This window comes from Homo sapiens, chromosome 17 (genome assembly GCF_000001405.40).
Source record: "Homo sapiens chromosome 17, GRCh38.p14 Primary Assembly".
In the NCBI taxonomy this organism is placed as follows: Eukaryota; Metazoa; Chordata; class Mammalia; order Primates; family Hominidae; genus Homo; species Homo sapiens.
Window position 1 is genome coordinate 40976922 of NC_000017.11, and position 26482 is coordinate 41003403.

At 38.6% G+C, this 26482-nt stretch overlaps 3 protein-coding genes and 1 long non-coding RNA gene across 9 annotated transcripts in view, besides 1 other annotated feature; 1 reads left to right on the forward strand and 3 right to left on the reverse strand.

The window, feature by feature from the left end:
• LOC107985072 (uncharacterized) overlaps positions 1 to 6936 on the forward strand; it is a 55255-nt gene extending 48319 nt beyond the window's left edge. The window contains exons 3-4 of one of the 2 annotated variants that reach the window (XR_001752886.2): positions 3528 to 3686; positions 5407 to 6936. This is a non-coding gene — a long non-coding RNA (uncharacterized LOC107985072). Of the gene's footprint in view, positions 1 to 3527; positions 5059 to 5406 lie in introns of those variants that run through there. The other variant, XR_001752885.2, reaches the window with a different exon arrangement.
• On the reverse strand, positions 794 to 10214 carry KRT40 (keratin 40). Of its 5 annotated transcripts, none has more exons than NR_163403.1 (9): positions 10001 to 10080; positions 9383 to 9453; positions 6906 to 7353; positions 6125 to 6207; positions 5386 to 5542; positions 4069 to 4403; positions 3864 to 3989; positions 1883 to 2103; positions 794 to 1375 (listed from the first exon to the last, which is right to left on the reverse strand). NR_163403.1 is itself a non-coding variant. In NM_182497.4 (9 exons), exons 3-9 carry the CDS (start codon positions 7350 to 7352, stop codon positions 1276 to 1278), a joined length of 1296 nt encoding a protein of 431 aa, NP_872303.2. In that variant the 5' UTR covers position 7353; positions 9383 to 9453; positions 10126 to 10214; the 3' UTR covers positions 794 to 1275. The 5 variants fall into 5 exon arrangements, 4 of the variants coding, with proteins under 4 accessions (NP_872303.2, NP_001372146.1, NP_001376173.1 ...); NM_182497.4 differs by lacking the exon at positions 10001 to 10080 and adding an exon at positions 10126 to 10214 and having other exon boundaries at positions 4069 to 4230; NM_001385217.1 differs by having other exon boundaries at positions 4069 to 4230; positions 10001 to 10102.
• Positions 3085 to 3686: an enhancer, noted in NCBI's record as "OCT4-NANOG-H3K4me1 hESC enhancer chr17:39136258-39136859 (GRCh37/hg19 assembly coordinates)". NCBI's record gives its function as "activates a minimal SCP1, AML or CMV promoter by ChIP-STARR-seq in naive H9 embryonic stem cells {active_cell/tissue: H9 hESC(naive)}" and the evidence as "EXISTENCE:reporter gene assay evidence [ECO:0000049][PMID:30033119]".
• On the reverse strand, positions 16509 to 17243 carry KRTAP3-3 (keratin associated protein 3-3). Its single transcript, NM_033185.3, has one exon. The coding sequence runs from the start codon at positions 17174 to 17176 to the stop codon at positions 16880 to 16882; it is 297 nt and encodes a 98-aa protein (NP_149441.1). The 5' UTR covers positions 17177 to 17243; the 3' UTR covers positions 16509 to 16879.
• Positions 17244 to 22271: 5028 nt separating this feature from the next.
• KRTAP3-2 (keratin associated protein 3-2) lies at positions 22272 to 22985 on the reverse strand. The gene has a single exon (NM_031959.3). The coding sequence runs from the start codon at positions 22930 to 22932 to the stop codon at positions 22636 to 22638; it is 297 nt and encodes a 98-aa protein (NP_114165.1). The 5' UTR covers positions 22933 to 22985; the 3' UTR covers positions 22272 to 22635.
• Positions 22986 to 26482: the final 3497 nt, after the last annotated feature.

Here is a 26482-nt window from a genome sequence, read left to right on the forward strand (position 1 = left end):
GGTGGTTTGGCTTCTTCTTCTACCTTTCAGAGTCCTCTTATGTTTATTTGATATGTAATTTCCAGGGTTTTTAGGAGGAGGAATATGGAAATATACATCATTCTGGAAGTTCTCTACCTTGTTTTTTAAATATATGAGAATAATTATTCTTATAACCTAAATGTCCAATAACAGATCAATGTACCTTATGGTACATTATGCAACCAGTAAAATGATGGCTACAGGCTGGGTGCAGTGGCTCACACCTGTAATCCCAGCACTTTGGGAGGCTGAAGCTGGTGGATCACAAGGTCAAGAGATTGAGACCATCCTGGCTAACACGGTGAAACCCTGTCTCTACTAAAAAAAAAAAAAAATTAGCCTGGTGTGGTGGCAGACACCTGTAGTCCCAGCTACTTGGGAGGCTGAGGCAGGAGAATCGCTTGAACCCAGGAGGCAGAGGTTGCAGTGAGCCCAGATAGTGTGACTACACTCCAGCCTGGGTGACACAGCAAGACTCTGTCTCAAAAAAAAAATAAAAAATAAAAAAAGTGATGGCTACAATACAATCTTATGTTTTTATTAGAATTAAAAATGCTTAGATGACATAAATGAAAGAAAGTTTACACAAGTGTGTGCATATGTTAGTATGATTATAGCTGTGTGGAAAAATCTATTATAAGAAAGAAAACTGGAAGAAAGTACCCCAAAATATTGACTATGGCTGTTTGGAAGATGAAATCATAAGTGACCTTTTCCCTTTTAATGAGCCAAATTTAAAAAAAGAGAATCTAGTACTTTTATAATCAAAAAATACATTTTATCATATTTTATTCCTAATATTTTTCCTCAGAAAGATACACACAACTATTTTCTAAGATATATGACATTTCTCATGGGTTCATTAATTTATTTGTATTTGAGGAGTTAAAAAATATTTTCAGCCTGGGTTTATGTACATTGAAACTATGGTTATGGGTTTAGATGATTTCCTTGCCATAAAATGAATATTCTATCAACAGTAATCAGCCATAGAGCTATATTTACCACGCTAAAGGAATAAAACACGTTTTATTTGGAGATGAGCAAGAATGCTTTATGGGCTTCCAGTATACCACAAATAAGCCGGAAGGAGAGGAAATAGTAAAGCAGAAAGACTGAGGATACCTGGAGGGCAATTCCAGGATATGAGAGCCTCCTGGATTTGTGCTTCCGGTTTGGATGTCCCTGGTTGAAGCCCCATCTCCTTTCTAGGATGCTGCTGGCTTTGATTCCTCTACCTGCTGTCCTTAACATTCACAAGCAGCAGTTTTCAACAGTGCAGATGACATAGGCTGAGCATGGCTCACAAGTGTTGCTCGAGGTGCATGTGGTCGAACATGGGCTACAGGAAAGCCTGGGGAAAAATCGATTTTCAACCAAGATTAACAAGGGAATGTTGATAAAATGGCAACTCAGAAAAACCGTGTCAAAATTTGCCCTACAAATTATGTTCTGAAAAAAACTCTGCACAATAGCATTGACTGAAGCCTGTTTCTTCTCTGCACCCAGAATTGCCACTTCATGTTCACTGTAGCAGTGGCAGTTGAATAGTATTTTATATTTTTTCTTGATTTTGCAAATGTTATCTTAGGCCTATTCCTGATTTTCCTTTAGTGGAAAACAGGAACAAAGGGAGATGCCAGCATGAAATGTTACACTAATAATTAATCTGCCTTTAGAATATTTTAAAAATATCTCTAGTGTCATGTTCTTAACCTCAGCCACTTTTCAGCACTTTTTTAAGAAGATCCCTAAACACACTGGGGAGGTCTGAACTTGTCCAGACTTTGGGGAAACAGGATTCTTTTACATCAGCCTCTTTGTGACTCTGGGGGATTTCATGAGTAACTGTGGAACTTGCCTGCTGTCCTCGCTGTCCAGCAGGCCCCAGTACGTGTTGATCTCACCCTCCAGCCGGGCCTTCACGTCCAGGAGCACCTGGTACTCCTGGTTCTGTCGCTCCAGGTCGCAGCGGATCTCGGCCAGCTGGTTCTCCAGGTTATCGATCAGACACTGAATTTGGGCCAGCTGGGAGCTGTACTGGGCCTCGGTTTCTGCCACGGTGCATTCCAGAGATTCTGTCTGCGGGAGGAAACATTGTCCAAAGGACCATGAAGTGCAGTCTCTCGGGCCAGAGTGCCTACTTTCAAATTCCTGCTTACCCTTTTCTAGCTATGTGACCACTGGCAAATTATTTAGCTTCTGTGAGTCTCAGTTTTATTCTCTGTATAGTGGAGAATACAAAGTATCTGTTTCATTAGACGGTTGTGAAGATTAAGAGTTAATATGCGGGCTGGGCGCGGTGGCTCAGGCCTGTAATCCCAGCACTTTGGGAGGCCGAGGCGGGCGGATCACAAGGTCAGAAGATCGAGACCATCCTGGCTAACACGGTGAAACCCCGTCTCTACTAAAAATATAAAAAATTAGCTGGGTACGGTGGTGGACGCCTGTAGTCCCAGCTACTCAGGAGAATGGTGTGAACCCGGGAGGCAAAGCTTGCAGTAAGTCAAGATCATGCCATTGCACTCCAGCCTGGGCGACAGAGGGAGACTCCGTCCAAAAAAAAAAAAAAAGAGTTAATGTGCGTAAAGCATTTAGAACAGTGCCAGCCATACTGCCACTGTTCTACGTGTCAACTATCACTACCACCACTATGACTACAGCAATACATGACATATTTGTGAAGCTTAAGGACTATCCACAACATATGAGAGGAAAGATTGAGTTTGGGCTCTTGGCAGGGAGGGGTAGTATAGTGCTATTAAGAGAAGAGGCTCTGGATACCAGAGGCTGGGACTGGCATATGTGTGGTAAGGGGATGAAGAGAGGTTGGTTAATGGGTGCAAACATACAGTTAGACAGAAAGAATATGTTTTCATGTTGGACAGCAGAGAAGTGTGACTACAGTTAACAACAATACACTGTGCATTTCAAAATAGCTAGATGGGAGGACTTGAAATGCTCCCAACACATAGAAATGATAAATACTTGAGGTGATGGATGCTCTAAATATCCTGACTTGATCATTACACATTCTATGCATGTAACAAAATATCACATCTACGTAAAAAAAATTTACGCATATTATATATCAATAAAAATAAATTTAAAAAGAGAGAGAGAAGAGACTCTGGGATTCAACTGGCTGAACTCAGCTTCCAAGTTTGCCTCTTAGAATTGCATCCTTTGCAAGTTACTTAATCTGAGTCTCAGTTTTCCTTATCTGTGTCATGGGATAAAGGTATCTATCCGGTAAAGTTACTGTGAGCCTTAAATCAGCATAGTGCCTCTCACAGGATGAATGCTCAGCTATTGTTCTTCTAGGTGTTCTCCGCAGGGCCTAATGACATGCACACAGTGGTGCTTGACCAGAACTGGTTCATGTCATCTTGAACGCATGGTGTTCCTGTTGCTTGAGTGGGGGGTGGTGCAGTGAAGGATAAGGTTGAAGTGTAGATCCTGGGAAACTGTAGGATGAAATGTTTGAAAATGATTCTTTGTTTTAGATATAACAGTGAGCCTGGAAAACTGGCCTGAATCAAATGAGAATTAAAACCTGCCAGAATGCTTAAGCGACCATGGCCCGGAGGTTTCTCTCCAGCTCTGCTTCTCCCTCCCTGTCTCTGGAGGCTGCTGCAGCATCAGACTCAAGCCCAGGAGTGAAGGTAAGGCATCTTAGAGGACAAGCTGTGGACCTGTCACTTCTGCTTCTATTAATAGCTGGGTAAACGGCAGTACTCGGGAAAGGCAAGGAAATGTGATCCTCGGATATGGAAGAGGGCTTAACATCTCAGGGCCTGACTTATCAGTGACACAACGGACACTGCCTTTGCCTCACGCACCAGGCTTTGCTGTGCTTGGAGCTCAATTTCCAGAGCACTGGCTGTGCGTTTCAGTTCCAAGATCTCCATCTGGCAGCCCTGCAGCTGCTCCGCGCTGGACAGTTGCTGCTGATTCAGCTCTTCTGTCTGAAACACAGACACCATTAGAGAATTCAAAAAAGGCAGAAGTCTGTAAGCCTGACATTTTTTCAATCTGGGTACTGACCTGAACAGCCAACCATTCTTCAGCTTCTCTGCGATTGTTGGCAAGCACCGTTTCACACTGACAGCGCATCTCATCCAGGACCCTGTTGAGGTCAAGGGTGGGGGCAGTGTCCAGCTCCACACTGAGGCGGTCGCCAAGCTGTTCACGAAGCAAGTTGACTTCCTGAAAGTGGGATGGTGTAAAGAATGTCACAGAATGGTGGGGAAAAATCCATTTGACATCCAATGGCATTCTACTTCTGTTTTTTGGAGCAGTGGGTAAAAGTGTGAGATTTTGATTCAGATTGCCTGGGCTGAATCTCTTTTCACCACTTAGAAGGGCCTCAGTTTCTTCGTCTGTAAAATGGACATAATAATTGGACATTTTTCCAGAAAGTTATTGTGAGATCTAGAAGAGTCAATCTACACATAATTAACTTATAAAAGTTAATTATGACACATAGTAAGGTGTCAATAAATGTTAGCTATGATTGTCATCAACAAACGTTCAAAGAGCAAATGTACTTTGTTACATCATTCAGCTTTTCATTTTCTAGCTTTATCAATATATCAGTGGCTGTATATTTTATGATTTTTAGAAGTTTATAAATGCGGAATATTTAAAAACACTGGTCCAGATAGTGCACAGTCTTTATCCCTTTTTTGAAATGGACTTCACAGTCTGTTCCTCAGCCTGATTTTCATACCCTGTGGACTGGAGCTAGGGGTGGCATAAAGCCTCCAAAGGAAGCCATTTGTGAAGTTACCTCCTCCACAAAGGCAAGGGCAGGAGAAGAGTTTGATTCCTTCCTCTGGCGCTGTCTAGGGGTTATTTCACACCTTAAATCAGAGACACACTGGAATGATCAGGTTGAATAGTAATAATGCCTCGAGTAGTTTTTGTTTGTTTGTTTGTTTGTTTGTTTTTTGAGATGGAGTCTCGCCCTGTCACCCAGGCTGGAGTGCAGTGGTAAGATCTCGGCTCACTGCAACCTCCGCCTCCTGAGTTCAAGTGATTCTCCTGCCTCAGCCTCCCGAGTAGCTAGGACTACAGGCGCCTGCCACCATGCCCAGCTAATTTTTGTATTTTTAGTAGAGATGAGGTTTCATCATATTGGTCAGGCTGGTCTCGAACTCCTGACCTTGTGATCCTCCTGCCTCAGCCTCCCAAAGTGCTTGGATTACAGGTGTGAGCCACCATGCCTGGCCCTGCCTCAAGTAGTTTTATTCCAGCTTAAACAACATCTGCCCAAATTCGATTTACAAACATCAACAGATCATCTGTCAATGTAAGTACGTTACTCTCGGAGTCCTTCAGCGGAGTTGCCACTTTCCTTACCTCTTCATGGTTTTTCTTAAGGCAAAGGAGATCTTCCTTCAGAGACTCCACATGGGCCTCCAGATCAGATTTGCACAGGGTCAGTTCCTCCAGGATCCCATGCAGGCTGCTGATGTCAGCCTCTAACAGCTGGCGAAGGGACAGTTCACTCTCGTACCTTTCACAGCAAAAGAGAAATCCAACGCTTACTTTGCTGAACGCTGTGCAAAGTGTGGGGATACATGGAGGATCGACACACGGACTTCAGGAAGCCATGTGCATAATTTCTCTTAATTCCTAAGTAATGATAAATTCAAGCTTTTAAAACATTCTTAACTTTAAAATATTATATAGAGAATATTTGTGTGTGTGTGTGTGTGTGAGAGAGAGAGATTGAGAGAGAGAGAGCCATAAGTTATTTTCAAATTAAAATTAAAGCCGGGCGTGGTGGCTCATGCCTGTAATCCCAGCACTTTGGGAGGCCAAGGCGGGCAGATCACCTGAGGTCAGGAGTTCGAGACCAACCTGGCCCACATGGTGAAACCCTGTCTCTACTAAAAATACAAAAATTAGCTAGGTGTGGCGGTGCACGCCTGCCTGTAATCCCGGCTACTCAGGAGGCTGAGGCAGGAGAACCACTTGAACCCAGGAGGCAGAGGTTGCAGTGAGCTGAGATAGCACCATTGAGCTCTAGCCTGGGTGACAAGAGTGAAACTCCATCTCAAAATAAATAAATAAAATAAAATTAAATTAAACTTACTTTGACTTAAAGTCATCAGTGGCCAGTTTGCAGTTGTCAAGCTGTACAGCAAGTCTAGAATTCTCTGCTTTCGTGCATAAGATCTGGGAAGCAAGTCATTATGTGATAAATGATTCTTTGAGAGAAACCTAAGTAAACTTCTATCCAACAGCTATGCCATTAGCTATCTTTTGAAAGTCTTTATAAGAAAGTATAAAATCACCCTCAGCCTGCTTTTTTTTATTAACCTTGTCACTTCATGAAGAAAAAAAGCAGAGCCAATTTAGAAACAAAATAATGAAATAAAAAGGTTTAGTTTTTTAATAACATAAGACATTTTGCAACATTCTCAGGCAGTTGAACACCATTAATGTTTTCTCCATCAGTAGTTTGTATTATGAGTATATCCTCTCCCATAATAATAGAAATTCATGGAGAGAAGAAAATGATTACTAGGTAGTTAAAAAGATGGCATTTCATGATCTGTGTTCAGATAATGTAAATGTTCAGTGTCACGTACAAAAGCGATTTTGGATATAATACAGTTTTTCTGCATTCTATAGATGATGAAGGAAAAGTCTACAGGCAAGTTACTTTATTATAGTCACTCAGTAATCAGGGGTAGCTCTGGGGCTGATGCTGAGGTTTTCTGACTTTCAGTCCGGTGCTCTCCCCTATGTATCACTAACTCTTAGAATTTTCCTTTCCCTTGGTTTCCTTCTGTAAAACAGCCCCTTCTAGTAGAAAGATAAAGCAAACCATAGATCAGGAAGGTGGAGCACTAGGGCAACAGGACACAGACCTTTTGTTGGAGATCTTCAATGGTGTTGAAGTAACGCTGATAATCCGGGCACACCATTGGGATATCCTGTTCACATTGTTCTTGGATCCTGGATTCCAGCTCTGCGTTGGTCTCCTCCAGGCTGCGCACCTTCTCCAGATAGCTGGCGAGTCTGTCATTCAGGAACTGCATCGTCTCCTTCTCATTGCTAGTGAACACCCCATCCTCACACCAGGCACAGTTCCCCACCAAGCAGGGACTATTACAACTCCCAGTAAAGTAGCATGGCAGGAGGCAACCAGTCAGCCCGCGAGACCTGGATAGGAAGCTTGGAGTCTGACATCGGGATGTAGCACAGGTACCGGGGAGACAAGCTGTTTCCACGGAGCAGCTTGAGGCAGGTGCACAACCGGAAGCCGTGCCACAGGACTCAGGAGAGCAGTGTGTGGAGGAGCAGTCAGAAGTCATCCTTCCAGAAGCAAAGACAGAGACTGGCTGCAAAACTTCAGTTGCCTTGACTCCAAAACTCTCCTCTCCTGAGAGTTTTATAACCCCCCAAAATGGGTGTTTACAGACTGCACCGGATGTTTTCTTTATCACTGATGGTGCCAGTTTTCGTACAAACATCTCATTAGAGTTGTTTATTTACTGAGGAAGAGTTTTATGCCTCATAAAATAGGGATAACTTTAGGTTACCAAAGCAGGACCCACACCATTTCCATGTGCAAGACAAAACACTTATTTCAGAAAATCGTCATAGGAAGCATTGTGCTTTTGACAGAATAATAAAAGAAAGAGAAAATTTGGCCAATGAATAATTATAGATACAACTCATTACAAATCAGGAAAATAATATGTCCACAGATTTTGATTCTGTGGATTGATTGCTTGTGTCCCCTTTTAAAATTAGTATTACAGCTCACAAAATGACAATTATTTGTTTGTGCCACCACCATAAAAATGGTCAGTGTGATTAGTAATCTTTCAATGCTTTTTGTGATCTCAGAGCATGTGCTGATAAAGACTGGAGGAGTGAGCTATATATTGGGTTTAAAGTGTGTGTGTGTGTGCAAACCATGTCTACCTGCGTACAAATGGAAAAGTCACTTTACATAACTGATAGGAATAACTTGTTTTTCTGCAGGCTAAAATATAAATTGGTTAGAGCTGGAATTATGATCTTTGATTTCCTGAAACTTGCCTTCTCCACATTTCTCATTGCTTATTGTTAGATAAGTTATACTATTTTACCTGTATTCCTAATAAGAGTGAAATATAAATTCTAAGTTATAACCTTTTAGTCCCTTGGGAATTCCTTAATGATTATACTTCAGAGTAGGGGCAAGGAACCCACAGGAATCTTTTCTTCTGAGATGTAGAGCCTGTTTTCTCCTATTTATTTATTTATGAAGGCCTGAATTTCATGAAAATTGAAAATACTGGAACTTGGAAAATAAAATTCTATTTAGGTTCCAAATCAGTAATTCCACTGGATGAAATCTCTGGTGCCAAATCTGACAGACAGGAACTTGAGATACGTAATTTTTTTGAATTATCTCTTGGATTTCACCTCCATTGTGAAGGATAATCTATTTCACTTTGCTTGGTTTTAGTCGTTACATTTATTTCATTTTCAAAGGTGCATAGAGAAAATTGTCTCTAGAATTTTTAAGAACATTATAGGAAAAAAACAGATTAATCTGAAAAAGTTAAAAAATTTTTGATCCAGAATAAACTTATTTTTTCTCCTAATCTTGAGTGCTACTTCCTAGGTACCTGATAGTAGAAACCAAACCAAACCAAACCAGAAGAACATATGTAAGTGAGTTAAAATAGTCTCTTAGGATTTATTACTCCCTGGGCAGAGCTGGGTTTGAATTTAGTGATTCTCTTTACACATCAACACTTATGCAAAAAGTTCTTAGAGTGTCTCATGGTATATTGACGCTGCTCTGCAACAAATATGAGTTCAAGGATTCAAAAACACTTCTGAAAAATTACAAATCTCTGAAAGAAAATTATCTTTTCACAGTAACCTAATGAGTCAAAAGAAAAATATCTGTGAAGAAAACCCATGTTTTGGTTGTCCATCACAGGCTCCAGTTAGCTAAAATGCAGTCATGTAAGTGCAGGTAAAATAAGAAATATTTCCTTCTGTCTGGAACTAATTTCTAATTGTAAATTATTTGTTACTGGTTATTGTCCTGCAGGTAGGACTATTTATTTTGGTCTTGATTAATTAGGTAGTGTTGTATAATGATCTATAGCTATAGTCTCCATCGTAGAATATAGAAATCACCCAGAATTCATTTCTGTGGAGTCCTCCTTAGGGAAAAGAAGTCAGGCTGGCAGGACCAGAGGAAAGCAAGTTAGTGGGTGCAGCGCACCAGTATGGCACATGTATACATATATAACTAACCTGCACAATGTGATAAATAAATAAAAAAAACCAAAAAACAAAAAACAAAGAAAGAAAGCAGGTAATGTATAAGACTCACCTTCTTCATGGTCCAGGACACATAGCCCTCCTGCACAATATTCCTGCACCCAGCTATCACCAGACCTTCAGCTGATAGAAAAATGTAACTTAGCTCACTGCAACCTTAGTGTTATCAGTACCACACAAACCCTCTTCAGCACACAGTACAAGCACCATCCTGTAAAATCTCCAGCACGCCTTTGTCTCCTTGCAGACAGCCCCTTCTCTGCTGTGCTGCCCATTGCTTCCTTGCAACGTATTTTCATACGTTCTCTAATATATCTGCCTTTCTTTACCTACAACTATCTTGATAAATTCTTCTTACCCCCATGCCACCAGCCCCAGATAGTTGCTAATCACCCGTGACAATTTCTATAGCATATCATCACCAGAAGAAAGGAACATTGGGAATAGAGAAAAAGAAATAGACATCATGAAAGGCCATGATAAAAAAAAAAACCGACAACAACACGGTAGTTTATTTTGCATAATACTATGCTCTTACCTTACAACATCCACCTAGGCTGCCAGAATCATTTTCCTAAAATACAAACCTGCTTTTTGTCGCCTTCCACTTATGGAATGCAAACTTTCTACCTTGGCAAATATGACCTTCCCTAACCTGGTGCCAATTTACCTTTCTGGGCTCACTTCCTGATGTTCTGTCTCACAAACCCTAAGCTCCAGCCATCCTTCAAGCTTCGTAGGTACTATTTTCTTGGTCAAATGCTCTTCTGCTATTCGTTTCCTGGATGAACTCACATGTCAAGACTCAGCTGAAACGTCGTTCAACTGCCTCATGTGGAGATGTGGCTCCTCCCAGAGCACTTTGCACGCATCTCTGCTATAGCAGTTGTCTTGTTGCTTTTAACATTTGTGCGACAGGTTATAAGAGTTTACATGAGGCCTTAAGAAATTTGGCTCAGGGCCAGAGCTAGTATCCACGTGCAGCAACTTGGTTGATTTTCACTGTTTTGGGCAACAACCTAAATAACTTTTAACAGTGCCTGGGAATGTTCAAGGGTCAGCTCGGGTTCAAGCTGCAGGGGAAACACACAGCTGGCTGGGCCACAGGGTGGTCAAGGTAATCTGTTTCCCAAGGCAAAGAAGGAAGTGGAGGGATGATCTGGGTGACCCTACAACATGATCAATCATATTGAATAACTTGGTCACTCTACATTATCCTTTATGTAAATTGTTTTATTCAGTTAGTTGATAGGATTAGCAAATGGATTTCCACCCCCATCTATGTTCTTGAGAAATATTTCCTGTAAATTTCTTTTCTTCTAATGATCTTGTTAGGTTTTGGTATCAAGTTACATACTGGGTTCACAATATGACTTAGCTCTGCGTCCCCACCCAAACTTCATCTCAAATTATAAACCCCAAATCCCCACGTGTTAGGGGAGGGACCTGGATGATTGGATCATGGGGGCAGTTTCCCGTATACTGTTCTTGTGATAGTGAGTTCGTTCTCAGGAAATCTAATGGTTTTGTAAGTGTGTGACAGTTCCTCCTTCCCACGCTCTCTCTCACCTGCCCCCATGTAAGAAGTGCCTGCTTCCCCTTCCACCATTATTGTAAGTTTCCTGAGGCCTCCCCAGCCATGTGGAACTGGGACTCAATTACACCTCCTTCCTTTATAAATTATCCAGTCTCAGATATTTCTTTATAACAGTGTGAGAATGGAGTAATACTGTTCATAAATTAAATTGGGAAATGTTTCCTCTTTATTTCATGAAATTCTGTAAGATTAGTGTTATTTATTCCTTAAATGTTTGATGGAGTCCAGTGAGGCCACCTCTTCCAGGAGTCTCCCATGTGAAAAAGTTGTGTTTTGTTTTTAACTAGGAAAAAAAATGTCTGGGCGCGGTGGCTCAAGCCTGTAATCCCAGCACTTTGGGAGGCCCAGGCAGGCAGATCACTTAAGGGCAGGAGGTTGAGACCAGCCTGGCTAATATGCTGAAGGCTTGTCTCTACTAAAAATACAAAAATTAGTTGGGCATAGTGGCGAACACCTGTAGTCCTAGCTTTTCGGGAGGCTGAGGCATGAGAATTGCTGAAACCTGGAAGGCAGATGTTGCGGTGAGCCGAGATCACACCATTGCACTCCAGCTTGGGTGAGAGTGAGACTCCATTTCAAACACACACACACACACACACACACACACACACACACACACACACATGCACACACACACGCAAATATATGTATATTTGCTGACCTCTACATCAAATTGCTTACCTCTACTTATAGAAACCTCACAATGCTATTCAGTTGTTCTATTTCATTTTGTGTGAAAGTTGCATTTTTCAAGGAGTTTGTTCACTTCACCTAAGTTGCAAAAATACTGAAATAAAGTTGTTCATAATAATCCTTATCATGAATTTTAGTATCTGCAGTGTCTATAAATTCTCACTATTTAATTCCAGATATTGGTAATTTGTGTTTTATCTCATGCTTCCCCCATCAATCTGGCTTGATGTTCATCAGATTAATACTAATGTATTGTTTATTTCAAGGTTGCTGAAAGAGTAGATTTTTGATGTTCTCACCATAAAACAATGATCAGGTGCTTAGGTGATGGATATGTTACTTAGCTTGATTTATCTTTCCACAATGCATACATAAATCAAAACACCACATTGTACCCCACAAATATACATATACACAATTATTATTTGCCAACTAAAAAATAACTAAATAGAAGTACTTTATGAATCCTTTCAAAGAATCAAATTTTAGCTTCATTAATTTCCTCGTTTTCTATTCATTGATTTCTGATATTATGTTTATTATTTATTTCTTTCTCCTTACTTTGAATTTTAATTGTTCTTTTTCTATTTAGTTGAAATGAAAACTTAAGTGATTGATGAAGAGATAAATGAAGGTGATAAAGATGTAAATCTTATTTTCTAATATAATCATTTGCTGTATATTTTCTACTAATCCAATGCTGTATGTATCCCATAAATTTTTAAAATCTTTTGTTTTCATTATCATTCAGCTCATAATATTTCTTAAGCTGTATTGGTATTTATTATTTGATCCATAGGTTATTAGAACTGTGTTGTTTGATTTTCAAATATTTGGTGATTTTTCTAAGTATCTGATTGATTTCTCATTTAATTCCATTGTGGTCAGATAACATATTTTGTTAGATTTTGGAATTTATGGAGACAAATTTAATGGCCCAGAATATAGTCTATTTTGGTGAGAGTTCCTTATGCATTTGAAAAGAATGTATATTCTGCAATTGTAGGGGGTAACATTCTGTAAATGTAACTGAGTAAAATTGTTTGATACTATTATTCAAATCTTCTTTCTCCTTGGTAATTTTCTTATCTGTTTGTTCTCTCAGATCCTGACAGGGGATATTAAAATCACCAAATGTGATTTTGGATTCATCTATTTCTCTCTTGACTTCTGTGATTTTTTGCCTTATTTATTTTGAAGCTCTGTTATTGGGTCATATTTTTAAGGATTATAGGACCACCTGATGAATTTTCCCTTTTTCATTATGAAATATCACCTTAAAATTATCTAATATTTAAGTGACCAAACTTCTTTCTTATCATTACTATTTGCGTGGTATGTCTTTTTTTCAGACTACATAATTCAATTTTCTTGTGCTTTTATATTTAAAGTGAATCACTTTAAAACAGCATAGTGCTGGGTTTTCTTTTTAAATCCAATCTGACATCCTCTGACTTTTTATTGGAGTGCTTACTTTATATTTAATGTAATTATTGATATGGTTGGTTTAAAATCTACCATCTTGCTATTTGTTTTTTATTTCCATGTGTTTTTTGCTTCCTTTCCCTTTTATTTCTCATCTTATTTTGGGCCAATCAAACATTCTACTTTATTTTCTATACTAGCTTTATAAGTATATATCTTTTAATGGTTTTTCTAAAGGGTGGGGTAGTTCTCTCAGGATTATGATATGCATCTTTACATTTTTGTACTCCACTTGGAATTAATACTGTAGCACTTTATGTAAAATACGAGAACCTTACCACAGTAGGGTTCTTTTTGCCCCTTTCTGTTCTTTGTGCTATTATTGTCAAATTGCTTACTTCTACATATAGAAACCCTACAATGCCATTGCTTTTGCTTTAAATCATTGTCTTTTAGAATATCGAGAAAAGGAAAAAGAGAAAGTCTCATATTTTATCCATGTATTTACCATTTTCAGTGTTTTTTTCCTTCCTGAAGGTCTGAGACTTCATTTTGTATAATTACTCTTAAAATTTTTTTATTGTGGCAAAATACAAGTAACATAAAATTTACTATTTTAACTATTTTTAAGTGTACAATCCAGTGGTATTAAGTACATTCAAATGTTGTGTGGGCATCACCACCGTCCTTCTCCATAACTCTTTTCACCTTTTAAAACTGAAACTCTGTTCCCTTTAAACAACTGCCCATGAAGCCCGCCCTTGTGTCCTGGCAACCATTGTTCTGCTTTTCATCTCTATGATTTTTTTACTACTTTTAACTACCTCATATAAGTGAAAGCATATAAGTGAATAGTATCTTTTTGTGCTGGCTTACTTCACTTAGCACAACATCTTCAAGGTTAATTCATGTTGTGGCATGTGTCAGAAAGTCCTTCCCTTTTAGGGCTGAATAATATTCCATTGTATGGATGTACCATATTTTGATTATCCATCCGTCTATCAATGAGCACTTGTTTGTTTTCATATTTTAGCTATTGCAATTATTGCTGCTATGAACGCAAGTATACAAATGTCTTTTAGCGACCCTGCTTTCAATTCTTTTGGGTATATACCCAGAAGTGGAAGCGCAAGATCATAAGGCAATTCTACATTTAATTTTTTGAGGAAGTGCTATATTGTTTTTCACAGTCACTGTACAATTTTACCTTCCTACCAGCAATGCTTGAGGGTTCCAATTTCTCTCTCTCTCTCTCTCTATATATATATAATGTATATATTATATATTTTACATATATATGTGTGTATATATATATAAGGGGTTTTGTTTTGTTTTTTGTTTTTTGAGACGGAATCTTGCTCTGTCACCCAGGCTGTAGTGCAGTGGTGCCATCTTGGCCCAGTGCAGCCTCTGCCTCCTGGGTTCAAGTGATTCTCTTGCTTCAGCCTCCCAAGTAGCTGGGATTACAGGAGCCCACCACCACGCCCAGCTAATTTTTGTATTTTTAGTAGAGACGGGATTTCACCATGTTGGCTGGGCTGGTCTCAAATTCCTGACCTCAAGTGATCCACCTGCCTTGGCCTCCCAAAGTGCTGGGATTATAGGCATAAGCCACCACACCTGGCTGTTTTGTTTTTTGTATTTATTTATTTATTTATTTATTTATTTTATGGCAGCCATCCTAATGGGTGGGAGGTAGTATCTCATTGTAGTTTTGATTTGCACTTTGCTAATGATTAGTGAGTGATGCTGAGTACCTTTGCCTGTGCTGATTGGCTATTTGTATATCTTCTTTGAAGAAAGTCTATTCAAGTTCTCTGTCCATTTCTGAACTGGTTTGTTTGTTTTTTGTCTTTGAGGTAAAATTACTCTTAAACCAAAAGGACTTCCTTATTGTTTCTTATAGTGTAGATCTTCAGGCACTTAAAAAAGAAGTCAGCTTTATTCACCTAAAAGTGTTTTTATTTTTTCTTTAATTTTGAAGGTTGTTTTTGCAGACTGTAGTGTTCACAATTTTTTTTCCTTTAGGACCTTTTAAATGAGGTTTGATTTTCCTCTGACATCCATTTTACCTAAAAAGAAGTCAGACATCCATTTTTTCTTTGCTGCCTTCTATTTGATTTGTTTTTTTTTCTTAATTGGTATTCAGCAGTTTGACTATGATATGTGTAGGTGGTGTGTGTGTGTGTGTGTGTATTGCAATTATCCTGCTAAGTGTTTATTGAGACTCTTGAATATATGGGTTAATAAAATGTCACCAAATTTCGAAAATTTTTGCTTTTATTCCCTCCCAAATTTTTATTTCCTATTCTTTAACTCCTCTCATTCTGAGACTCCAATTTCATCCTCATTTCACCACTTGGTACTTTCCCACAGGCTTCTTAGTTTCTTCAATTTCTTTTTCAATCCTTTTTTCTACCCTGGCTAGGCTGGAACCTCAAAGTCTGTTAATAGTGAATGACCTCTGGTATCTCCACTCAGCTTCTAATCACCCAGCAGCCACTCTTTGCTATGCCTGATGGAATTTCAGCCAGCGTATTTGCAACTGTGCCTTCTGTAAGTACTTGAGAACTTTTACACAGTCTTCTTTACTTACCTACGTATATCTTCTTCCTCTCCAGAATAACTTTCCAAACCCCATTTAGATATAGCTACTCGTGTTGCAAACATGACCTGTGTAGAGCAAGAAGAACAGAGTATTTCCATCTTGAACTCTCTTCTCCTTCTCGGCTCCTAGGCTCAATTGGTGACATAACTCCACTGTCTAGTCTTTCTTTGATATTTTCTTTTCCTCCATATCCCTTTGATGACTAGCTGCAGTCAATTCCTCTTTGACTATGTCTTTCCCACTTTACCCCCATGACAACAGTCTTCATTGTTCTCAATTTTATGATCCCACAGCACTTTACTAATACTGCTGGTAGAACACATCTTTTTTTATTATAACACAGCAACTGGCATTCGATAATTATTAACCGTAGGAAGAAACAAATGGATGTTGTGTTTGTATTTGCTTCACCTGCCAGATGGTTAGCTTATTTTCAGCAGAGACAATAAAACACAGGACACACAATAGACATTTAATAAATCTTAGTTGAATAAATAATGACATTATTATATTTTTTTCATAAATAGATCATGTCACCTGGATTAGTTTATATATTTTGTCATATTTGGTGTTTGGGTAATGTTCAGTATTTCTCAACCTGTCTGAAACCATTTTTTGGGAGGACAAGTCAGGAAAAGTCTACTTTCAAATATGCCGATGTACTAGACCATCTTACATGCAAGGATGTTTAATTTTCTTAAAACAGCAAGAACAGCAAAATTAAGAAATTTTTGTCCATACTGCCACCATTTTCAGTTTCACTAATGTTTCCAGTTTTTCTTTAAATGCCAATGTTCAGAGTTAAGAAACGCATTTAATGAATGAACAGAAATAAACAGAAGTAATTGTAGACACTTGTGCTATGCCAGAGATGTAAAATTTATTAGGATAATCATGAAGAACTTCCTTAATTTTCAGAAAGATACCACCCAAGACTGAAAACAGAATTCCCAAACCACCCACAGAAAGAGACACTTTAATATGAAGGAATCGAACAGCTTCAGGAAGCTATAGGCATCCACTGATTCAAACTGCAGTTGGTTATAGCTGAATGGTCATTGAAAGTTTCTTGGTCTCTTTTTTTTTGCAGGGGGTGATTGTGGTAGTACCATCCTTGTTCCAATTTCTAAAGCAGAGTACATTAGTTGTAGGTACTGAGATAGGTGAATGCTAAAGCTTCTATGTTGACTTTTTCAATCTCAGGCACTGAGCAAAGTAGCCATCCATTAGCAGCCTCTTGGGAGGCAGGGCTCACAGCAGGGCTGAGTGAAGGTGGTGAGGTTGAGGGTCTCCAGGCCTGGAGTTGGCTGGCAGGAGTTGAGCAGGAAGCAGGTGGGCACGCAGGGCTGAGGAATGTGGCAGGGTGGGGGACAGTTGTCACAGCAGGTGGGCTCCAGTAACCAAACTGTGTGTGGGCAGGTGCTGGGCAGGCAGACTCCACAGCGGCAGGATTTGTCAGAGGAGCAGATGGTGGTGGCAGGCCCGGTGGGGACACTGCAGCCTCGAGAGGCACAGCAATCCATGGCTATTAGAGTCTGTGGTATTTATGGGTTTGATTGAAAAGAAGGATAAGGCTTCTGAGGTGTGAATATCTCTCCTTTCTCTGGGGCTCTTATGTACCCTCTCCACTGGGAGTTGGTCCAGCCAAGAGGCTTCTTTCCTGGTTCTTGTTTATGTTAGTGTACCCATTATTCTTTAATTTGTTTGACATTTAGACTCTGTAAAGAGTCCCCATTTTCCTAATTAACTTTTATTTGAGTTCGTTGCTAAATCTGAACTGATTACCCTTGCTATTTGTCACTGGAACACAAGCTTTATGAGGTATCACCAAAGCCTTCTGTTATTATATTTTCAACACCAGCCCTGCTGGGGAATATTGCATGACAGTGAGTCTGTAATATGTGGGCCTGCTCTCCAGTGCTGCTTTATTTTTAATCTGTCACTTTATCTATACCAATTTGTCTGATAAAGTATTCTTGTTTTAAAGAGTTGAACTTAATTTTACTTTCTTTTAGCTTTGAGGCTTTTGAAGATCAAAATTACATTAACATGAAGAAATATGCCATTAAGAAATATGGAAAAACTTTAAAAAACGCTTATTATTCTAGTTTTTTACTACAAAATATTTTGTATACATTGTTTATCATTACATTACATTACTGGAATCATATTGTGCATAGGTTCTGAAACTTGCCTTTGTGTGTGTGCATATATATTATATATATATATAATTATCTTATATTTTAAAGGATATTTGATAGTGTTACTTTTAATATTTCTTAGCATTTATTATATAATTGCACTTCTATGTTACTTTAAAATTTTATATTATTATGCATTGAGGTTATTTTCCACTTTTCTCTACAATAATTTTGGCAACAGAGCACCTCTGTATGTAAATCTTTGTGCATATTTTTGATTATTTCAGAAACAGAATTAATTATTTGGTAGAATTATAGGGGCAAATGTTAATTTCCAGTATTTTTAAGGCCTTTCATATCATTGCCATACTGTTTTTCAGAATGGTTCTATTTACCTACTTTTTTTTTCAAATTATCTATTTCCACCAGATGTGTTTGATTAAGAATTCCCATTTCGTATACCTTTGACAGATACTTTATTTTAAAGGTGTTTTCCAATTTCATTGGTGAAAAACACAATTTTATGATTGTTGTGTCTGTATTTCTTTTATAACCAGCTAGGTTGAAATATTCCTTCATATGCATATTGGCCATCTGTCTTCTATTGAGAGTTGGCTTGCTTTGTTTCCTTCACTGCTAATTGTGGGCAAATTGAATTTTTAGCTTCTGTCTATATAGACTAAATAAAATAATAACTTAAGAATACAAAACTAAAATTCAAGTAAAATTATTACCAAAGGAAACTTATGAGCCTGAGCTAGATTAATCTGTTGACATTTGATTTCATTCTCTCTCTCTCTTTTTTTTCTTTTTTTTTTTGCAAGGTATTGCATTTTTTCCTGAAATCAAATGTAGCTGTGGTAGGAAAGACCTGGTTCTAGTACCAGTACGCTATTTAGACTGCAGGCATAGTTCAGTGTTTAAGAGGGAGCACAAGGTGGGCTTGTGGCCAATATCATTTATACACCTCGAACCATTTCCGCTCAGCTTGGTCTCATGCTTCTTGCAAGCCATGGTTCTTCTCACATTCTTCATACCTCCTCTTTTAGGCACACCTGTTGAGTGGTGCATTGTGGTGTGCATGTTTGTATGTTTTGGGAATGGGGACGTGTAGTCAAGAGGACCACCTGAGGAGTCAGAATAGCTCTTGACTGTTCCCGGTGCTGCTGGTTATCTTCCTCGTTATGGTAAGTAATTCACTTTTAGGAGCTTCATCCTTTTTCTCTGCGAAATCAGGGTAATAGCATGCATATTCCTCCACTTAGAAGATTATTGTGAGGTTCACATGTGATAAAAAGGGTGAAAGCTCATGGACAACCATATAATGCTATGCAAAAATAAATTATTATCATGATTGAAACAAATTACAGATGAAATTCAAGGCAAGGTAAAGATAAAAGAAACATAGTCAAAAGAAGAAAAGAAAATGAGATGAAGGTAAGTAAGAGAGCAACCTTACAGGAAAGAGCAAACATTTATATTAGTTTATACAAATAAATAAATAAATAAATAATCACATCTACGATTAGAGAAAGTGGTTGGCATATAAATTAACAAACCTAAAAATTTGAAAAGCTCCCTATGGCTCTGATTGAAAGGGAGAATTCATGATATCTTCTGGTTCCTGGACTTTCCCCAGATTTATCTTTGTATGAATGCCTGCCGAAGTGTGCACCCTTTTACTTAGAACTGATTAGTATTTCACTTATTATTTAAAAAGTAATTCAACAGACATTTACTGAGCAGTTACTATGTGCTAGTCACTGTGATAAATGTTGGATTTATAGCAATAAACAAGATAGGCACCATCCTTGCCCTCATGAAGTTTACAGTTTGGTGGAAGAATTTTTCATACACATAACATATTATTATAAGCTGCTGCTATTATACATTATAATAGGAAAGAAAAAGAGTAAAAGACAAAAAATAAAAGAAAAAATTATTTTGAGGGAAACATTACAAAGGAAACATGGCTTGCAGACCCTCAGGATTAGAATTTCATGGCAGAAAGCTATCAGCTTCTTACCTGGGATACAATATTACTTTGAGTTCACCATAAAAGCTTAGAGCAACTATTACTGTTTATGCAGCACATTGTGTTTCTCTAATCATAAATAAGACAAGGTTACAGATTACAAACAGTTGTAATGCAACAAGTTTATTATAATAAGCTCTTCTCTTTTATTGACAAGACTTGCAGCACTTTATTAAAATGTATTTTCTCTGCAGTGGTCTAAGAGACCTGAGAATTACTCTCCTTTGTTTATAAATGATGACAGTGATTCATAGAGAGGTGAGATGATTTGCCTTAGATGGTTCGGGAGCCAGTGTGTTAAAAACTAAATATAGGACCTATTGGGATTGAGCTACCTTTTATGTGGTTAGAAATGGAAGTTTAAACTATGTGTCAGAGATACTAAGCATTTTATTTTTAAAAACAACGCGTATCTTTTTTCTTTAAGTGAATGTAGGAAAAACATGGTGATTCTTGATGAGATGGTAGATTTTCGGGGTGCTAAAAATCTAGACACACACACACATACGCACACGCACACTCACACATCCAAGAAGTCCAGTTTTAATTATATCTTTCTATAGTCAATGGAGGGATCTGGGACAGTGCAGATGTAAATCAAAGATTAATAATGAAAAGAGACAGAAGCAAAACATGATTATATTGGTCTCTTGCTTGAAATATTTCATTGCTTCAAAGTTTCAGTCCAAACCCCTTTGCTTTGAGGAGCCCCTTATGTCTGGGTCTTTGCATTTCTGTCTTCTCTGCCTCACCCTCTTCAATGCATTGTTCATCCAGTCATTCCCAACTACCTCCTGTGGCTTAAAGACACCAACCTTTCCGCTGCCTCCATGATTTATTAAGCTGCTATTCTGTCTGGAACAACTGTTCCCTACCTCTCCTGCTGCCTATTCATCTTTTAAAGCTTAGACTGGATAGCTCAGAGGCTTTCCGTAGCTATTTCTCACCTTTGACACTGAATCACCAAATCAGGGTTTTAGTTATTCTTTCTGTATGCTTGCATGCCATGCTGCTCACCTCCCAGTCACAGCAGAATCCCTCAGCATTGCAATTATTATTATGATAACTTGTCTTTCTTCTTCACTAGATTTGGGAGAGACTTGAGGGCACTTGAGACTTGAGGTAATAGCATTTCTTTTATCTTTTTACTCCTGGCATCAATATGATGCCTGACATAGGGCAAACACTCAGGAAATATGGACAAATGAATGAGTGAATGGACTAGATCTCTTGTTGACAATATCCTCTGTAGTGTCCCATAGACTCCATGGCTGCTAAGTTCTGTTCATTTAAGGTTGAGCTGTAAAAAGCCTATGGAATCCCGTGAGAAATTTCTCTCTCAAGACACTAACAGGTACATTGAGGACATTTTAAAACAAGTTTGTTAAAAAGCATTTGCTTCTCCCCTTCCTTGTCCTACTCTGTTTCTTGCATGTCTTCTTGTGGTTTTATTTCAATGCATTTTCAGATTTTGACTTGTGTCTTTATATATGTATTGTGTATAGATATACATACACACATATATTTATATGTGTTACATAAATGTATTGGATGTATTATATATATAATATATACTTGTTCTCTCTAGGCTTGGAAAAGAAAAATCTTCATGAGATAAAATTAAGTAGGTTGATAAAATTAAGTAACGAATTAAAGCATACGTAATCAGAGTTTTAGCTCTCAACCTGAGACACCTGAAAAGTATTGGCATTCTATTGATTACTGTGGTAGAACATCTGTGCTGAGTATGGTGGCAAATAAAGGTATGTCCCTGGTGCCTTGTTACTAGAGTTGACCACTTTGAGTTCTCTCTAAGAGAAAATGAAGTTGAAATAGGTACACCTTCAAAATGCCCAGATTTTAGAATTGAATACTTGCCAATTTTAATCTATGAACCAATGTACTCTTTTTCTATTATAATCCGATGTGGATTTTGTTAAAGAATCTTACATGTTTTATTTCTCTTGCATATTTTGGGTTTATTTCATAACTGTGCTCATTAAGCTTCTGGTTTCATTAGTATTGAAGGTTCTATGATGTGGTAGGAAAAATTGGGCTTTAGAGTCAGACATACAAGAGGCTGAATTCTGATTTTCTAAGTAATTAACTTTATGACTTTCAGAATGTTGAATAACGCTTAAAACTTCATTTTTTCTTATCCATTAGTGCTGTTTTAAGGACTAAATCAATAATTTACTGGTGAAGAGTAGATAAATAAATGTTGGTTCACACCAAAATTGCACTTGTCTGAGGAAGAAGAGAGAAGAGAAGGCAAACATGAAAGAGAACCTGTTAAAAGTTAGCAAGCCATGTTAGTAGTAGCAAGAATGTTAGTCATTCTGCCAATAGAGTCTTCTTTAAAAGATTAAAATAATCATCCTGTTTTTACCTTTTTAAAATGGAAGAAATATACCCAAAACTAACATAAACAAATGACACATCTTGCCAGAGAAATATAGTTTATTGGAAAACCCACCAAGAAATTTTCTTCTATGAAAATACCCAGTACAAGAAACAAGAGCCAGGAAGCAATATGATCAAGAACATGTAATCTGAGGTCTTAAAGATTGAAACAGTATTTTGCTAATAAAACTCATTCACCTGCCCACAGGAACCAAATGGTTTTTCAGCTAAATAACCATAAAAAATACTTTTCTTTTTTTCCCCCATTAAAACCAAAGGTAAGTTCTTCATATCTGGGTCATCTGGTCTACCTTAACATCTGGCAAACTACTGAGGCAAGTGAATACTGAAGGGACAGCTTCTGGATTCTTCGTTGTCGGGCACTGAGCAAAGTAGCCATCCATCAGCAGCCTCTTGGGAGGCAGGGCTCACAGCAGGGCTGAGTGAAGGTGGTGAGGTTGAGGGTCTCCAGGCCCGGAGTTGGCTGGCAGGAGTTGAGCAGGAAGCAGGTGGGCACGCAGGGCTGAGGAATGTGGCAGGGTGGGGGACAGTTGTCACAGCAGATGGGCTCCAGTAACCAAACTGTGTGTGGGCAGGTGCTGGGCAGGCAGACTCCACAGCGGCAGGATTTGTCGGAGGAGCAGATGGTGGTGGCAGGCCCAGTGGGGACACTGCAGCTGCGAGAGGCACAGCAATCCATGGCAATGGGCGTCTGGTTAGCTTTCAGTTTCTTAGATGAGGATTCTGAGGTACAAATGTCTCCTCTTTTGTTAGGGCTCTTATATACCCTCCCAAGTGGGCATTGGTCCAACTGGAAGCCTTCCTGTTTTGTTTATGGCACCCTTTTTCACTGAGATTCTCTAATCAGTTTGTCATTTACATGTCCATTAAGAGTTCCCGCTCTTATTAAGTTAATCATATTTTTGACTCATTGACTTGTCATTTTTGTCACAAGATCATCACATTTTGTCTTCACAGGTTTCTGGCATGCCAAACCTTATATGACTTTTATGGGTAATCAATCCAAGTGACAATTCAGCTGTAATTTTGGAGGCCAAACTCTTCTTGTTTTTCCCTCTTAATTTAAAATACTATGGATAATGTGATTTCTAATGACTAATTTCAGAATGAGTAACTCAAATGATGAACTGGACCATTTTCAACTCAATAAAGTCAACAAGAATATGGCTATTTACAGATGAATGTTTCATGTGACTACAGGCATCTCGGACATGTTTGCATTATTTAGTGATATTATAATTCAGGTTCTATTGAGCAAGCAAAGTGGTAGAATGGTACAGGATGAAGAAACTCCTTTTTATTATTTTTATTAAATCTGTAGTGAATTTCTCAATGTTGTATTATTCTATGGATTTTTTTTTTCTAAAATAGTCTCTATTCTCAAAGTTATGCCAATCTTGTGGTGAATCAAAGTATAAATTCATTGGAAGGAAGGATCCACACAGTGGCCATTCTTTGTTGAATATACCACTAAAAGAAAACCACCTCAGCCTTGATTCATTTTCACATGAATGGTGTACATACTTTAAAATAAGATGAAATAAGAATTAAAAGGAGAAACCACAAGAGTCACAGAACAATCATGGATTTTGGCAGGGAATCTGACTCAATGCAATTTAGAACTATGGCATTCATAAAAATCACTTTTTCACTGACTTACTCCCTACTTTGCATGTTTATTTGTTTTCATACCTTGGATCTTGAACTAGATTGAAATTCCTTTGAGGTATGCCTTAAACAACATTATTTACTTAAGTCAGCCAGAGATTGAACTAGATAATATCAAATGTGTAATATTCTAGATTCCAACATCTTCCTACACCTGTCCATGATCAGCACAAATCCTTTCAGATAATATTGTATAATTTAAATTACATACTCGTTATGTGGCAATTTGTTGACTTAACAGAAAGCAAAGATTCCGGGTAGGTTGTTTCTGAGGGGACATTACCAAAAACCAGTACGATCTACTTAAAAGAGAAGAAAGCTGGCTAAAATCAGTGGAAAATATCAAATGTCATTGGTAGGTAAGCCTTATACGTTATACGTTAAAACAACCAGTTTATCTTTTTCTTTAACAACAAAAATATGTGGTACATATATGCCATAGAATACTATGCAGCCATAAAAAATAAGGAGCTCCTATCCTTTGAAGAAACATGGATGGAGCTGGAGGCTATTATCTTTAGTAACTAATGCAGAAACAGAAAACCGAATACTGCATGTTCTCACTTATAAGTGGTAGCTAAATGATGAGAACGCATGGACACATAGAGGGGAATAACAGATGCTAGAACCTATCAGAGGGTGGAAGGTGGGAGGAGGGACAGGATCAGGAAAAATAACTGGTAGGTACTAGGCTTAATACGTGGGTGATGAGATAATCTGTACAACAAACCCCCATGACACCAGCTTACCTATGTAACAAACCTGCACAGGTACCCCTGAACTTAAAAGTTAAAAACAAAAAAACAGAAAACAGCTTCAAATCATTTTTATTAGCAGGAATTTACAACAAATGCCAAGGGTGTCGAACATCATACTGTTACCAGATGGTGCCATGCAGTTCCAGGCTTTTGGTGTCCCAAAGAATTGGACGAGACACCCACAGCAAAACAAAGAAACAAAAGTGTATTAAGCACAGTATTACACTCTAAGAGGGGGAGAGCAAACCAGCCTCTGTGAGATGAGATCAGCCCCCAGCTTGGTGCAGTTTGCGTCTTTGTGTGTGTGTGTGTGTGTGTATGTGTGTGTGTGTGTCCCTTCCCAAGGCTGCCTAATCTCTAGCCAGTGTTTGCCTCTTTGATTGACAGGTGTGTTGCTTAGTTACTTTGGCCCCTGTGTGCTTGCGCACCACCTCCAGCCCATAATTTTAAGTACATACATGATATGCAGTCCATATGCATAAGCCTGAATGAGCTGATTTTCATACAAGGTCATGTTAAGGATACGTTTTCTCTTTAATGCACATGCTTATCCATGAAGAGTTGCCCCTTACTGGTTTGGTCCTTATCTTGCCGGCCATGGGGGCCTTGCTTTCTTCTCTATCTTACTTTTTGTTTTGGCTGGAGTGCAGTGGCATTCTCTGCTCACTGCAGCCTCTACTTTCTGGGATCAAGTGATTCTCCTACCTCAGACTCCCAAGTAGCAGCTGGGATTACAGGTGCCCGCCACCACACCCAGCTAAGTTTTGTATTTTTTGTAGAGAGGGGTGTTTCTCCATGTTGGCCAGGCTGGTCTTGAACTCCTGATCTCAAGTGATCCACCTGCTTCGGCCTCCCAAAATGCCAGGATTACAGCATGAGCCACCGCGCCTGGTCTAACTTCTGCTTCTTATCTTGCTTCTTGCTTACCTGCCCCTTCACCTTGCTTCTGGTCTCTGCTTTTATTCACTCCACCCTTTATCCAAGTTTTAATTCCCTTTGCTAGTCTCCTGCCTCAATACCTGCACTTTACCACTGAAGAACAGATAAGCAAATTCAAGTGGCTTTCCCAGTATATTATAAAATTCAAAGTTAATGAACTAGTATTGAAATCGTCAAGGAAATGTTTAATGTTTACTTACTCTTGACTTACCAGTCTCTCTCATCTAGAAGCCAGTGGCTTGGCAAGTAGAATATATGAAGAAGACCCTCTCCCATTCTCTGTGTTCTCTCTGACTTCTCTTTTAAAATCGATTTTGAAATATTATATAGATTCAGGAGATCTACTGTACAACATGGTGACTATAGTGAATAACCATATATTGCATTTTTGAAAAACGCTGAGAGAATGGATTAAGTGTTCTCATCACAAAAATGATAACTATGTGAGTCACGCATATGTTAATCATACAGCACATTACATAAAGTGAAGGCGGGAGTCTCCTAGGTACTTTACCCTCTGTGACCTCGTTCATACTGTTTCTTTAGCTTAAAGTGACCTTTCCCAATTCTCTAGTTTCCAAATCCTGTTGATCCCTCAAGATTCAGCCAAACATCCCCTTCATAAAGAAACTCTAGGTGATTCTTCTAGATGTTTGCATCCTTTTCTCTGCTCTCACAAAATGGGCTGCCTATTCTTCCCTTTCAACCTCATTTCTTTCTGCTATATTTTGTAGTTTGTCACTTAAATTTGTTTTCCTCACTCCAATGCAAGGTTCTTGGAAGTGGTAATCGTATGTTAGTTTTATTTGTCTTTTTCAAGCACCTAGGACAATGCCTGAAACAGGGTAGGCATTTGATAAATAT

What these genes read in the sequence shown, in the direction of transcription:
- KRTAP3-2 (NM_031959.3), bottom strand. Translation starts at nt 22,932, where the DNA reads ATGGATTGCTGTGCCTCTCGCAGCTGCAGTGTCCCCACTGGGCCTGCC.
- KRTAP3-3 (NM_033185.3), bottom strand. Translation starts at nt 17,176, where the DNA reads ATGGATTGCTGTGCCTCTCGAGGCTGCAGTGTCCCCACCGGGCCTGCC.
- KRT40 (NM_182497.4), bottom strand. Translation starts at nt 7,352, where the DNA reads ATGACTTCTGACTGCTCCTCCACACACTGCTCTCCTGAGTCCTGTGGC. An exon ending in AAGAATGGTTGGCTGTTCAG is followed by an intron (nt 3,990 to 4,068) that starts GTCAGTACCCAG and finishes TCTGTGTTTCAG; the next exon opens with ACAGAAGAGCTGAATCAGCA. An exon ending in CTGGACAGCGAGGACAGCAG is followed by an intron (nt 1,376 to 1,882) that starts GCAAGTTCCACA and finishes ATTTTTCCCCAG; the next exon opens with GCTTTCCTGTAGCCCATGTT.